This window comes from Homo sapiens, chromosome 10 (assembly GCF_000001405.40).
Source record: "Homo sapiens chromosome 10, GRCh38.p14 Primary Assembly".
In the NCBI taxonomy this organism is placed as follows: Eukaryota; Metazoa; Chordata; class Mammalia; order Primates; family Hominidae; genus Homo; species Homo sapiens.
In genome coordinates, this window is record NC_000010.11 from 54,830,741 (window position 1) to 54,844,259 (window position 13,519).

The 13,519-nt window shown below is 32.8% G+C and overlaps 1 protein-coding gene across 1 annotated transcript in view, besides 1 other annotated feature; it reads right to left on the reverse strand.

Moving 5' to 3' along the window:
• Positions 1–13,519, reverse strand: part of PCDH15 (protocadherin related 15) — a 1,825,172-nt gene that overhangs the window by 1,027,970 nt on the left and 783,683 nt on the right. The window lies entirely within an intron of this gene.
• Positions 7,850–8,022: a silencer, noted in NCBI's record as "fragment chr10:56598350-56598522 (GRCh37/hg19 assembly coordinates)". NCBI's record gives its function as "represses an EF-1alpha promoter that drives an FKBP-Casp9 reporter gene in an ReSE screen in HepG2 liver carcinoma cells {active_cell/tissue: HepG2}" and the evidence as "EXISTENCE:reporter gene assay evidence [ECO:0000049][PMID:32094911]".

The window sequence follows — 13,519 nt, forward strand, 5'->3', positions numbered from 1 at the left end:
TAAAAAAAAAGGAAACCTCATATTCCAAAAAGCAAAAAAAAGAAGAAAAAATGTTAAAAGCAAACAGCAAGACATGCCATACATGTCAACACAGAGACAAAAAATATTCTGTAATGATGAAAAAAGAACTCCAGCAAATCACTTGTCTGCTTTCCTCAACTTCTAGTACCTCACAAAATTAACAAGCAAGAACTTCATAATGGAACAGTTAACAACAAAATCAATACAATTATGCAATAAGAAACCTTTTCACAAATAATTTGTATACCTTAGCAAAGGGTGATTATCCTTATGGAAAGTTAATTTACTCTTGGAAGAACTAGGTCATCACTATGCATTTGTACCTAGTGCTTAATTTAATAAATTCTAATAAATATAATCATTCAGCGTAGAACATCTATTTAACTTCCTGAAAATAGAGATTTGGATAAAAGATACATGTAAGATAATTTTTTTATTCCTGATCTAACAAAAAATTAGGTTTAGCATTTTTTCATGCTCTTAATATTTTATTTTTTGTGATATTCATGGGAACATGAAATAAAATAATAAGGTTTTGGTGTGACAGAAAAAACTTATTGTCAACATTTGAAATAATTCATGCAAGTGAGATATTAAATACATTTCAAAAGACACATTAATATATTGGTAATTAAAGTAAGGTATAGGATTGAATGATTTCTAAACAGTCACATTATTTTTTTCTATTTTACCAGTTTTTAACATTGTGATGTCTGCTAACTTATAATAATACATTTCTAACTTATTCCAAGTGTGGATCTGTTCTACACACAACACAAATTTTCAATGTTTGTGTGAACTATATACTGTAGCTTTGGGAAATACAATGACTAGTTAAGAAACAAACTGGCATTTGGTGAACAAAACACCATAACCAAAAGCTAAATCACACAAGAGGAAAATTATCTTGAATTCCACATGCCAATCAGTATATTTTCATTTCCAGGCATATTTTTACATTTTTAAAAAGATAAATTTAATTTTATATTGTTTAGATAGTATAGAGATTTTACTACCAAAAAAACACATTTATTACATGATCAATTGGCCACCGTACTTCACTAGCCCATTAATAAATAAAAGACAAAGTATAAAGACTTTACTAAACAGCCTCAAATTTAAGACAGACACGTTAACTTATAATAGCTCAGGGAAAAAATAAAAATAAAATAATAAATCATAACTAAACTAGTAACCTGATGCACAACCTAAATGATAAATATTTGTATGTCTATTTTGGTGTATTTTCCTTGGTATTTAAATACCTTGAATTCAGAAAATATAAACTTGTTTACAGTTTTTCTATTGCCTTTGAAGTATCTACATTTCTAAAGGTTCTTTTATGTTCCAATTCTCTATCTTGATGCCAAGATGGGCTCATGAAAAACCTAGTTGCACAGCTGATGTCCCTGTCGGCTGTTAACATAAAGAGACTGATTTGGAACAGGATGAGGAACCCCAGGAGAAGCCTTGGCAATAATATTCCGATACTGCCCATCCGAATCAGTCACAGCAGACTGGTCAGACCTGATTTAACTCTGAGTGAGTACAAATAATCAATGGAATATATAAATTGAGAATATTTAATATTTTATAACATGTCTACTTTAATTACCAATTTAATTAGATATATAAACATGCAGAGATTTTGTTGATATGTTTTAAACAGCAAAATGAAAACACTAGATGTAGTAAACAATTGCCTTTGCAATATAACTGTATTATGAAAGGTTAAGGTTACTTTTCTGCCATTCACTCATTTCCATGCCCACGTGCATACCATAGTGAAGATCTAACATGCTATTTAGTCCTAATCTGGCCAGTACATTTGTATGGAAATAAAAATTGTGTTTTCTGATTATCTACTTTATTTCCCACAAAGATATGACTTTGGTCACCAGGGCAACCACACAATACAATATGGATGGTTCAGTTTGAAAATATTACCACTAATGGAAAAATGAGGACCCTTTTATTACTGGATAATTAGTGCAATATGACAAAAAACATTATCTCTGTTAACAGATAAAAATAGAGTTCTGTTAGGAGTGTTATGAATGATGAGGTAAACAAATATCACAGAAGTGGTGACACTATAGGTCATTCAACATCATAGATGAAAGAGAGCTCAAGAACTTCTAGATTTTATGTAACATTTTGCAGGTAAGGAAACTAAGACTTTTTTGCAAGGAGAAACTACCAGGTTTGTACAGTTAATAAGTGGCAGTTCTATATTTATGCAAGAAAAAGGGACTAAGAAAAAAGCAAAATATATTATTTATTTACTTATTTACAATATACCAGGAACATCACGTATGTTATCTAATTTAATTCCATCACATACGTTATCTCATTTGATTCACCTAACAATACCATGATGCATTTATCATTGGTCATGTGTTACTGATGAGAAATAGACTTTCAAGAAGAGTTTGGAACAGTTAAACTACTCTCTCATGATTGCATCATTATTAAGGTGTAGATGTTACAAAGTATGATAATTAATTTTGTTTATTAACTTGTCTAGGCAATGCTGTCCATTTGTTTAGTTAAACATTAGATGTTTCTGTGAAGGCATTTTTTAGATGTGAATGACATTTATAATTAGTAACTTTGAGTAAAGCAGATTACCCTCCACAAAGTGGGTGGATCACCCTCCATGGCATGGATTCAAACAGTTGAAGTTCTTAAGAACAAAGACTAAGGTTACTGAAGAGGGAGAAATTCTGCCTCAAAACTTCAACAATGAAACCTTTCCTGAATTTCCAGCATGCTGGCTTGCACCATGGATTTCAGATTTAACTTTTGTCTGAATTTTCAGCCCTACAGACCTCCCCTACTGATATTGGACTTGACAGCCCTCACAGTCATGTAAGCCAGTTCCTAAAATCAGTCTCTCTCATTCTTGTTCTTGCTCTTGCTCTCCCCTGTTAGTCTCTCTATCTACTTTATTGGCTCTGTTGCTATGGAGAAACTTGGATAATACACAATGTGATATAAAATTATTCACAGTCAATATATTGTGAGTACCAACTAATTAGAGTGAATGCTAGTCTTAGTTCGTGGGAGCCTGAAAGGCTGCCTTTTATGTTGGGGCTTTCCTCTTCAGTGTTTGATCATGGGTAGATCGGGTGTTTTGGGAGTTAGGGGGAATTGACCAATTATGAATGAGGACTAAAATATTTTAATATTTTTAACAATAATATGATCAAATTATTAGGCTCCTGGGCTATAGAATGGGAGAAATCTTCTTTGGTTATGTTAATGATACTTATTGGACAAGTTACCACAACTGCTTAGTCTTAATTTCTTCATCTATAAAATGGAGATGTTAATAATATCCATGCTAAATACTGGAATGGACATCCAGTGCCTAACACATTGCCTACTACCTATCAAATAGTAAAATATATCTAATATTGTTTTTACTACCTTTTTTTTTTTTTGAGATGGAGTCTCACCCTGCTGCCCAGACTGGAGTGCAGTGGCACAATCTTGGCTCACTGCAACCTCCGCCTCCCAGGTTCAAGTGATTCTCCTGCCTTAGCTTCCCAAGTAGCTGGTGAACCACCACACCCAGCTAATTTTTGTATTTTTAGTAGAGACGGGGTTTTGCCACGTTGGTCAGGCTGGTCTCGAACTCCTGACCTCAGGTGATTCGCCCGCCTCAGCCTCCCAAAGTGCTGGGTTATAGATGTGAGCCACTGCGCCCAGCTTATTACTAGAATTTAAACTCAGATCTGTAATAATTTGCAAAACTCACATTCTTACAATATGTATGATAGCTGTGAAAAAAACAGAATAAGAAAGAAAGAGACAAGGAAAAAAAAGAAAGAAACAAGAGAGTGACAAGAAAAAATAATTCTCTCTATTAGAATATTTAGGATTTTAAGGTATAATATTGAAACAAACACTCTATACTATAGATTTTATGTTCATTTAAGATGTCTTAGTTTATGTGATCCATTTAGACAGGATTTAATGACCCACAATTATTGAAACATTGAAAGTATGTTACTTTTGCACTTGTCCTGCCTATTTGTGAAAATGAATTTTTTTTAAAGTGGCAATGTTGTTTCTAAAAGTGTCTGCCTTTCTACCCTAGCATGCACTGTGTTAATCTCTGACCATCTTAGGCTCATGCTGATACAGCACCCATTGTATTTTTAACTTTTAAAAAATCTGCTGAGGATCTCTATTTCATGCAGCACATGGATTGAGAGTTAAAGGTCAATTAACTGCATTGTTCATGCCCTGTGGTTTCTTACTGAAGAATGTGAAGATACAATTGGTAGTGAAAACCTATACTGATGAAGCTCAGTGCTCTTATAGTCTAAAGAGCAAGAAAATGATAGTTTGGTCACCCACTCAATAATAATATTATGTTGAAAAGAGACAATAGCGAAATAAGAATTTCAAAGAACACCATCAGTAGACTTCAGCAGGAGAAGGAATAGAAGCATATCTTCATGGTCGCAATGAATTAATTCTAGAATTAATATTAATATTTTTTAAGCATCAGCATTCATCTATAAACCCACAAATTTGTCATTTATTATATAAAATGTGTCTATCGACTTCCTGTTGGTTTTGCCAAGTTCAGAAGTTTCCATTCACATAAAAATTATTTCTCTCTCTCCTTCTCCATCTCTCTTTCTCATACATGCACACACAGTATTTTTTATGTACATCCCTATACATATCCATATATAATTTCCATAAGTATACACATATTCTCCTACAGTCATAGACACAGTTCCCCAGTACATATCCCTACTAAGACAAACACCACCAACATACACATCCCCACCTTGATGCACATGGAAACCAACATGCACATTCCAAACACCAGGCATTTCCTTAAAATACACACTGCCATGCACACACACCCTCATTCACATAGCTCCTGTCCAATTACATATCAAAAATATTTATGAAAAAACCAATATTACAGCATTCAGAGGAAATTCATCAATATTCAGAAAAATATATAAAATTGTAAAATTTAAAATCACATAGCAGGAAATTTTGAGCTATGTGTCTGTAGATAGATTATAGATTCTTTCTCTCAAATACCTGATGAAATAAACTGTCACTTATAAAAGAAAGAAAGATACGGTATTTTTTTAAAACTCCCAAAATATAAACAAACAGACATCACAAAATTAAATGCAAACATTCTCAATCTCTTTAAAAGATACCAGCGATAGCACAAAGACAAGGTGGAAAACTATTGTCATACGTTTTAAAGAAATAGAATAACTCATTGCTATAAAAAACTGAAGGTTTTATTGCAACACAAAAAAGTTCCTAATTCTATTCTCACTTTGCAGAAATAATTATAATAAGTTAAAAAACATTTGAGATTCATCACCAATGTCTAAACGTCTGCAGAGAAGATAAAGAGTTAGTGGAGAGGGATGATTAAAAAATTAGAATTGAAGAACAGAGTCTAACTCTATCTGACAGATTAAAAATTCCAAGGCTTTAAACTCAGTAGACTGAATGATCAGAAATGGAGAGCATTCCTGACTGGAGTAAAATAAATGTCAAGGTTGAGTGAAACTTGTTTTTAGTACATTTAATAAAATCTCGATCTTGTTACAAACACACATACGCATACACACCCACACCCACACTCATAGCTGTACAGTCTCCACTGAGCATCATCTTCAAAATAGAGAAAAATATATTTTATATTTGTTGAGGAGAAGTAATCCACCCTATACTGCAATTGTTACACAGTTGTAATAACTAAGCAATAAATTCAAACCTTGAAAATGGTGTGATTTTATGTGTGTGTCTCTGTGTGCATTTGTGTGTATTTTTTTGAAAAAGATATAAATAATCTAGTTCACAAAAAATTAGCTGAGAAAAAAGATATAATCTCACTAGCATTTTTCACACTAATAACTACTTTAATATGAATAAACTAAATCAATTCAAAAAAGATAACAATAGATTGAGATGAAGAAAAAATTACAGTGTTAATAAATGGTTTAAAATTATACCATTGCAGAACTAATAAGTAACAAATAGAATGACAAGCTGAAAATTAAACTACTGACAAAGGGGAAAAGTTTGAAAAATAATCAAAGTGAGTGCAAAACAGAAAAGATCAAACAACTATTGAGAAGATCTCCACATAAAATTATTGTTATTATTTAGGTAAAAATTCTAACAAATGGATCAGAAACCTGTTGAAATACTTCAAGAACAATTTTCTGAAAAGAACAAAACGAAGAATATTTTTGGGAAAAGAAAACCATATTTTAGAAATGTTAGATATAAATGACAATACAACACATTTACATTAAAATATTGAATAACAAGTATAAATAAGTTTTTATTATTCAGGAAAAAACTAAATTTCATTAAAAAGAAAGATTTAAACCATCTTGAAAGTTTTTCAAAGTTAGAATCAAAACTAAAAGTTAGTAGACAATGTCTACGAATTTGTAGAGGAATGAAATAATACTCTAAATATGTTACACCCAGTCAGGACATTGTTTTTGTATAAAGTAAACAAAAGAAAATAAAAACAATAAAAACTAATGTAATTCCCATGAGTTTTAGGGACACATGTCCCCATATACACCCCTAAACACACACACTGCGCCAATTGCAAAACTAGGATGAATAATAAACTCAAGTAGTATTAGAAAAACCATGGTTAAAAGATGAAAAGTAAATTTGAATCCAACTAAATAAGAATAAAACCTGGAAATTATGATCACAAAATTGAACTTAATTGTTGTAAACTGTTACTTTTTTAAAAAAATAAAGTGATTTATAAAATTGGAAAGTGGGAAAAAGTAATCAATTATTATTACAATATTCCTTTGAACGAGTCAATCTAAACTATGTAAATTAAAATGTAGTCAAAAATATAATAGAGTGATGATGTCAGCAAAATGGAAGAATAGGAGATCCCCTGCTCATACGCCACTACAGCAATAATTCGGCAGCCATTCATGAATGAAAATGCCTTTGTGGAAGCTTTGGAATCGAGATACAAGGCTGCAAAACTTTGGTGATATACAAAATAGAGGAGGGTCACTTTGAGAAAGCAAGTCGATACCCTGGCTACCAACTGTAGTCCTGGCTACAGACCCAAAACAGTCCCATCTCATTGTGGAGGGCCAATGAATGAGTTACTTACACACATGCTCTGGGAAACCGTCGTGTTAAACTCAGCCCTGGCTCCAACCCCTTTCAATCATAACCTAGGAACAGCCTTTCCCACCTAGGAACATGCTAGAATACATACTTGTCCAAGTATTCTACATACTTGTGCAAGTATGTAGAATACATACTTGAAGGAGGTTCACCTAACTTAGTCGAACGACAGTACTTGACGAGGTCCTGTAACCCAGTTCCAGCCCCTGCCAGCTAGAGTCTAGGTCTGGGATCAGTCCTGTCCACCTAGTGATATGGTTTGACTCTATGTCCCCACCCAAATATCACCTTGAATTGTAATCACCATAATCCCCATGTGTCAAAGGAGAGACTAGATGGAGATAATTGAATCATGGGTGCAGTTTCCCACATGTGGTTCTCGTGATAGTAAGTGAGTCTCATGAGATCTGATGGTTTTAGAAAAGGCAGTTCCCCTGCACTCGCTTACATGCTTTCCCACCTGCCATTATGCAAGAGGTGCCTTTGCTTCTCCTTCATCTTCTGCCATGATTGTAAATTTTCTGAAGCCTCCCCAGCAATGGAGAACTGTGAGTCCATTAAACCTCTTTTCTTTATAAATTACCCAGTCTCGAGTATTTCTTCATAGCAGTATGAGAACAGACTAATAAGCCTAGAAACACACCAGGAGACATGCTTATTTGTGTCACTAGAGGCAGACCCACCTAACTGGGTACCACAGCAGATTCTCAAATGGCCATGTAACCCAGATACAAACCTACGCAGCTGCAGTCTAGGAGTACATCTTCCCACCCTCTAGGAGGTATGTCGCTTTGTGTACCTAGAGGCAGGCCTGTCAATCTTGATCTTAGTGCAGATCCTGAAGCAGCCCTGTAACTTGGCGCCAGCCCCTCTCAGCTGCAATCTGGAAGCAGTTCTGCCTGGCCAGAAATCTATCCACTGACTCAATAGGAAACCTCATAGGGACCAGACAGGATTCATGCCCACTCTGGTAATATGTCTGGCAACTATGGATTCCATTGCAGACTACACAGAGGCCCTGTGACTCAGCTCTAATCCCACTCAACTGGGATTGTAGAGGCACTCCTGTCACCCTGAGAATCCAACAAGAAGTGGTCTTTAACTGCTAAAACCAGTCTGTAAAGGCTAAAAGAGGTTTACTTCTTCAAATGCACAAACATCAATACAAGGCTGTAAGAATTACAAAAATACAGGCAAACATGATACCACCAATAGAAACTAATAAAACTCCTATAATTGACCACAAATATATAGAGATCTATGAACTTTCCAACAAAGAGTTCCAAATAATTACTTTAAGGACACAGATAAATAGTTAAACAAAATCTGAAGAAAAAACAATCCATAAGAAATAGAAGTTTAATAAAGAAATAGAAACCATAAAAAGAGATTCAAATAGAAATCTTGAATATCTGAAGCTGAAGAATACAATAAAAGAATTGAAAACAAGTAATGAAGATCTCAAATAGATTTTATTATGCAAAATAAAGAATTTGTAATCTTGAAAACTGGTCATTTAAAATTAGCCAGTTGAAGAAATAAAGGAAAAACTGTAAAGAAAATTTAGAGGATCCATGGACAGCATCAAGCACACAAAGTATGCATTATGAAAGTTCCAGAAAAAGGAGAGAGAGAAGGGTAGAAAGCATATTTTAAGAAATAATGACTGATAACATCCCAAATTTTGGGAAAGATATAGACATTAAGATTCATTAAGCTCAAAAGACTCTAGGCAAGATAAACCCAAGAAAGATCATCAAGAGACACATTACAATCAAATTGCCAAATGTTAGACCAAACAGTGAATTTAGAAAGCAGCAAATAAATAAGCAACTCATCACATACAAGGGAAACAGCATAAGGTTATCAGCGTATTTCTCAGCAGAAGCCTTGCAGGTCATGAAAGAGTGGAATTACATATTCAAAGTGCTGAAGGAAAAAAAAAATCTTGCCAACCAACATTATACCTAGCAAAGATGTCCTTCAGAAATAAAAGGAAGATAAAAACATCCTCAGACCAAACACACTATCAAACAAACAAAAAAAACACACATGAACACACACACAATTAAAGGAGTTTATTACTATTGTACTTGCCTTATAATAAATGCCAAAAGAATTCTCAAGTTGGAATAAATGGACACTAAGTAACAACACGAAAATATATGAAAGTTTCAAACTCACTGGTATAGTTAAATAGACAGGCAAATTCAGAATACTCTAATACTATAATGACCGAGCATGAATCAGTTTTACCTCTAGTTGAAAATTTAAAAATCAAGAGTGTTAAAAATAACTACAACTACAATCATTTTTTAATGGATGCACAAATATAAAAAGAGGTAAAGTGTAACATTGATAGCACGAAGTCTGGGTGGGAGATGTAAAAGTGTAGAGTTTTTATAGCAATTTAGTTAAGTTGCTATCAGCTTAGAATACATACCTATAACTATAAAATATTTTATATAAGGTTTGTTGTAACCACAAAGAAGTTTCTAGTAGGCACACAAAATATAAATAGAGAAAAATCAAAAGAAAGTAGTGGAGAAAAATCATCAAATCACAAAGACAGGAGGAGAAAAAGAAAGGAACAAAGGAAGTATAAAACAGTCAAAATATTAACAGAATGGCAAAACTAAGTCCTTACTTATTAATATTTAAGTTTAAATGAATTAAATTTTCTAACGAAAAAGTAAAGAGTGGCCAAATGAATTTCAAACCTCTAACAATATGATACATACAACAGACTCACCTTGACTTTAAGAATATATATAGTCTAAAATGGAAGGAATATAAAGGATAGTCTATAAAATAGTAACCAAGAGAGAGCAGAGTAGGAATACTTCGTTCAGACAAAATAGACTTGTAGTCAAAATCTGTCATGTGACAAAGAAAATCAATATATAACAACAAAAGTATTGATTCATCGAGAGGATATAATGATTGTAAATATATATGCACCCAACAATAGATCTAAGTATATAAAGGAAATGTTAACAGAACTGAAGGGAGAAGTAGACAGCAGTACAATAATAGTAAGAGACTTCACCACCCCAATTTCCATACTGGATAGATCATCCAGAAAGTCAATAAGGAAACAGCAGACTTTAATAATACTACCAAATTGAGCTAACACACATGCACAGAACATTCCACCCATAAACAGCAGTATATAAGTTCCTCTCAACTGTACATGAAACATTCTTCAGGGTATACCATATATTGGACCATAAAACAAGTCTCAACAAATTTTAAAAGACAGAAATTATATGAAGTATGTTTCTGACCGCATGATATGAAACTAAAAATCAACAAAAGGAGGAAAACTGGAAAATTCGCAAACGTGGGAATTAAACAACACACTCAAAAACAACCAATGAGCAAAAGAAGAAATAAAGAGAGAAATAAAAAAGCATCTTAAAATTTTAAAAACACAACATGTCCAAACCTCTTGGACACAGCAAAAGCTGTCCTAAGAAGGTAGTTTATAGTGATAAATGCTTACATTAAGGAAAAGAATTCCAAATAAATACCTAACTTTACATATCAAAGAACTAGGGAAAAAAAATCTTTTCAGGCCTAAGTTAGCAGATGGGCAGAAATAATAAAAATTAGAGCAACAAATAATATAAAGACAAAAAAGGAACTATAGAAAATTTTATTGTTAAATATATTTCAATAAAGCTGGTAAAAATGCATAAAAGTTTTAAAAATAATGGCTTTAAGCTAATATTTTCTCCAATTTACATTAATTTTAACTGAAAAAAATTTAAAGTTCACCAATTACTTCAATTTGCATTCAGTTTGTTTTCTAAAATAAAAATAGAAAAAATTAACATTTCAATTAAATATATAATGCATATTATTACAATCATTTTTTGAAGACATTTGTCATTTTAAACAGATAGATCTGTAGCACTCTCTTATTCTTCCTGCATATGTGCCTATAGTGATGTCTAGACTGATAATTACCTGATATAAACAATGTTTATTTTTATATGATGCCATATTAGTTCTGTATTGCTTAAGTTCATTTCAATAAGCACATATGCTATTTTCCAGGGGGAAGAGGGTCAAATTAAGAGAATAAATCACATCATAGGAAATAAAGATCTTTAGTTATATCGAGGAACTTGAAATTGGACTTATTCTCTTATGTAACTACAAAATTCATAAACGTTCATGATAATTTCAAATCTGTCAAGCTACTGAAAAGAGAAAGGAAAAGTGTGTGTATGTGTGCGTGTGTGTGTGTGTGTGTGTGAGACAGAGAGAGAGAGAATATGAATAAATGAGACAGATTTAATTGGTAGAGTCTTCGTAATTTTATTTTTTCTCCATCCAGACCTATTGTTAAAATTATTAACTATTAGCACCCTTTCTTCTACAACATATCTTTTGTTAATGTCTCCCTCAAATCATTTCCTCTGATTCTAGTAACTCACACTTAGTAATTTGTGACCTGCCCGTCTGCATCCATTTCTTAGAGCAATGAATCTTTGCTACTCCATCAAGGTTCAAAACTCAGGAGGAAACCTTGTCATTAAATTCTATAAGGAAATCATCTAAGGTTCTAATTTTAAAATATGTTTTGAAATTCTACTAAGATATTCTGTAGATGTGTGAGGTAAGCATAGATTAGGAATAATGTAAATTGCTACAACTATATATAAAGTCAAAGAATCTTAATGTATTTGTGGACTTTGTAGTTAGTCTGCTTACATCCTTGCTCCAATTTATGTAACTACAACAGCGATTATCTTATTTATTTTGTATACAGTCAGTAAAATTCAACTTTATTTTGTATGGTATTACCTCATATAAAAAAATCTCTAGGACACAGACTGAAGCATCTTTTGGATAATGAAAGTCTTATGTTTTCTAGTACAGGTGTTTAATAGCAAGCAGCTTTCATATGGAAATTCCAGGGTAAATAGGTTTGCTGTTGCCAAAGGAAAAGGAAGGCAGGCATTATTGGGAGGAAAATAAAAAGAAATAAGTGTCATCGTATGTTAATGTAATGAAAACTGACTATCGGAAAGAACAAAGATATCAGAGCTGAAATATAGTCCATCTCCAGCTTATACGATCCTTTAAGGGTCAAGGAGCTCTGACACACATTTCAAATAGTTTTCAAAATGTAATACTGAGAGCATACCCTCAGCAGTATCTCAGCAGTATCCAGAAAGCCCTTAAAAGTCAATCTTAATAAAGCATTCTTTTCATTGTTGTTGTATCGTTTGGCTTCATGAACTTTAGGGAGAACTGAACAAGTAAAGCTGTGCCCTGGCAGTTGAAAAATTGGCATGGAAAATAATTGGCATCCTGCTCAAGGGAGAGGGATTTGAGCCAAACAAAGGTACCTCCTATATTAATATGTAAGCTTAACAATCAGGCAAATCTAATGCCGCCAGACTTCTGGGTCAGAATATTAACATTTCCTTCTGACATGCTCGAGCTGGAGTTTAATGCCAAGAAATGCATTTATAATTAGAAAACATCTTAATTGTGATTTATGTGTGTCTGACAGGCTGACACTTGATCTTTACTTACTCTCTTACTGACTTAACGTTATTTTTATGTCCTGAGAGACATAACTCAAATTGAAGATTTTGCTTGTCGACTTTATATTCTGATAGTTATTTAGCTTTTCTACACACACATCATACATTTGCTCAATTCTTATATTTTAACATTTTATAACATAGAGTGAATTTCATTAAGATGATTTCATTAAGATAATTTGACGATTGTTAACATGACAAAACTAGTCAAAAGAGTTTGCTTCAATAAACGTAGTAAATAAAGTTAAAAAGTAGTAAAAGTGCTAGACAAGCAATTGAAATTTCTGAACAGTTCCCTGATACATCTTACGGGGATCAGTGTTTTGAGTCCCCAGTTGGAAAATACATGACAAATGGCAATGAACAATTGGACAAATGGCAATTGGAAAATACATGACAAATGGCAATGAACACAAAAATACGATTTAACATGTCTTGTGACTGTTTATCAAAATAGGAAAATAGTTTTAGCATAGAATCTCATTTCAAAATATAACACAGAGCATGGCTGAAATAACTTTTCTTATATATTTCAGTGTTATCCTACTGAGTTAAGAAAGGCATGATTTAAAAGAGGTAAAAGTATGTCCACATCATTCAACCACAGGATGAAGGCTAATTATATCTACACAGCCAGTTCCATTTGGCAAATACAAATAGATAAGAGGTGCTAGTGATGATTCAGATGCCTTGGAAAGCTACAGTAATACTTTCACAAATCTTATTTTTTATGAAATATAAATGTGTGTGTTAGT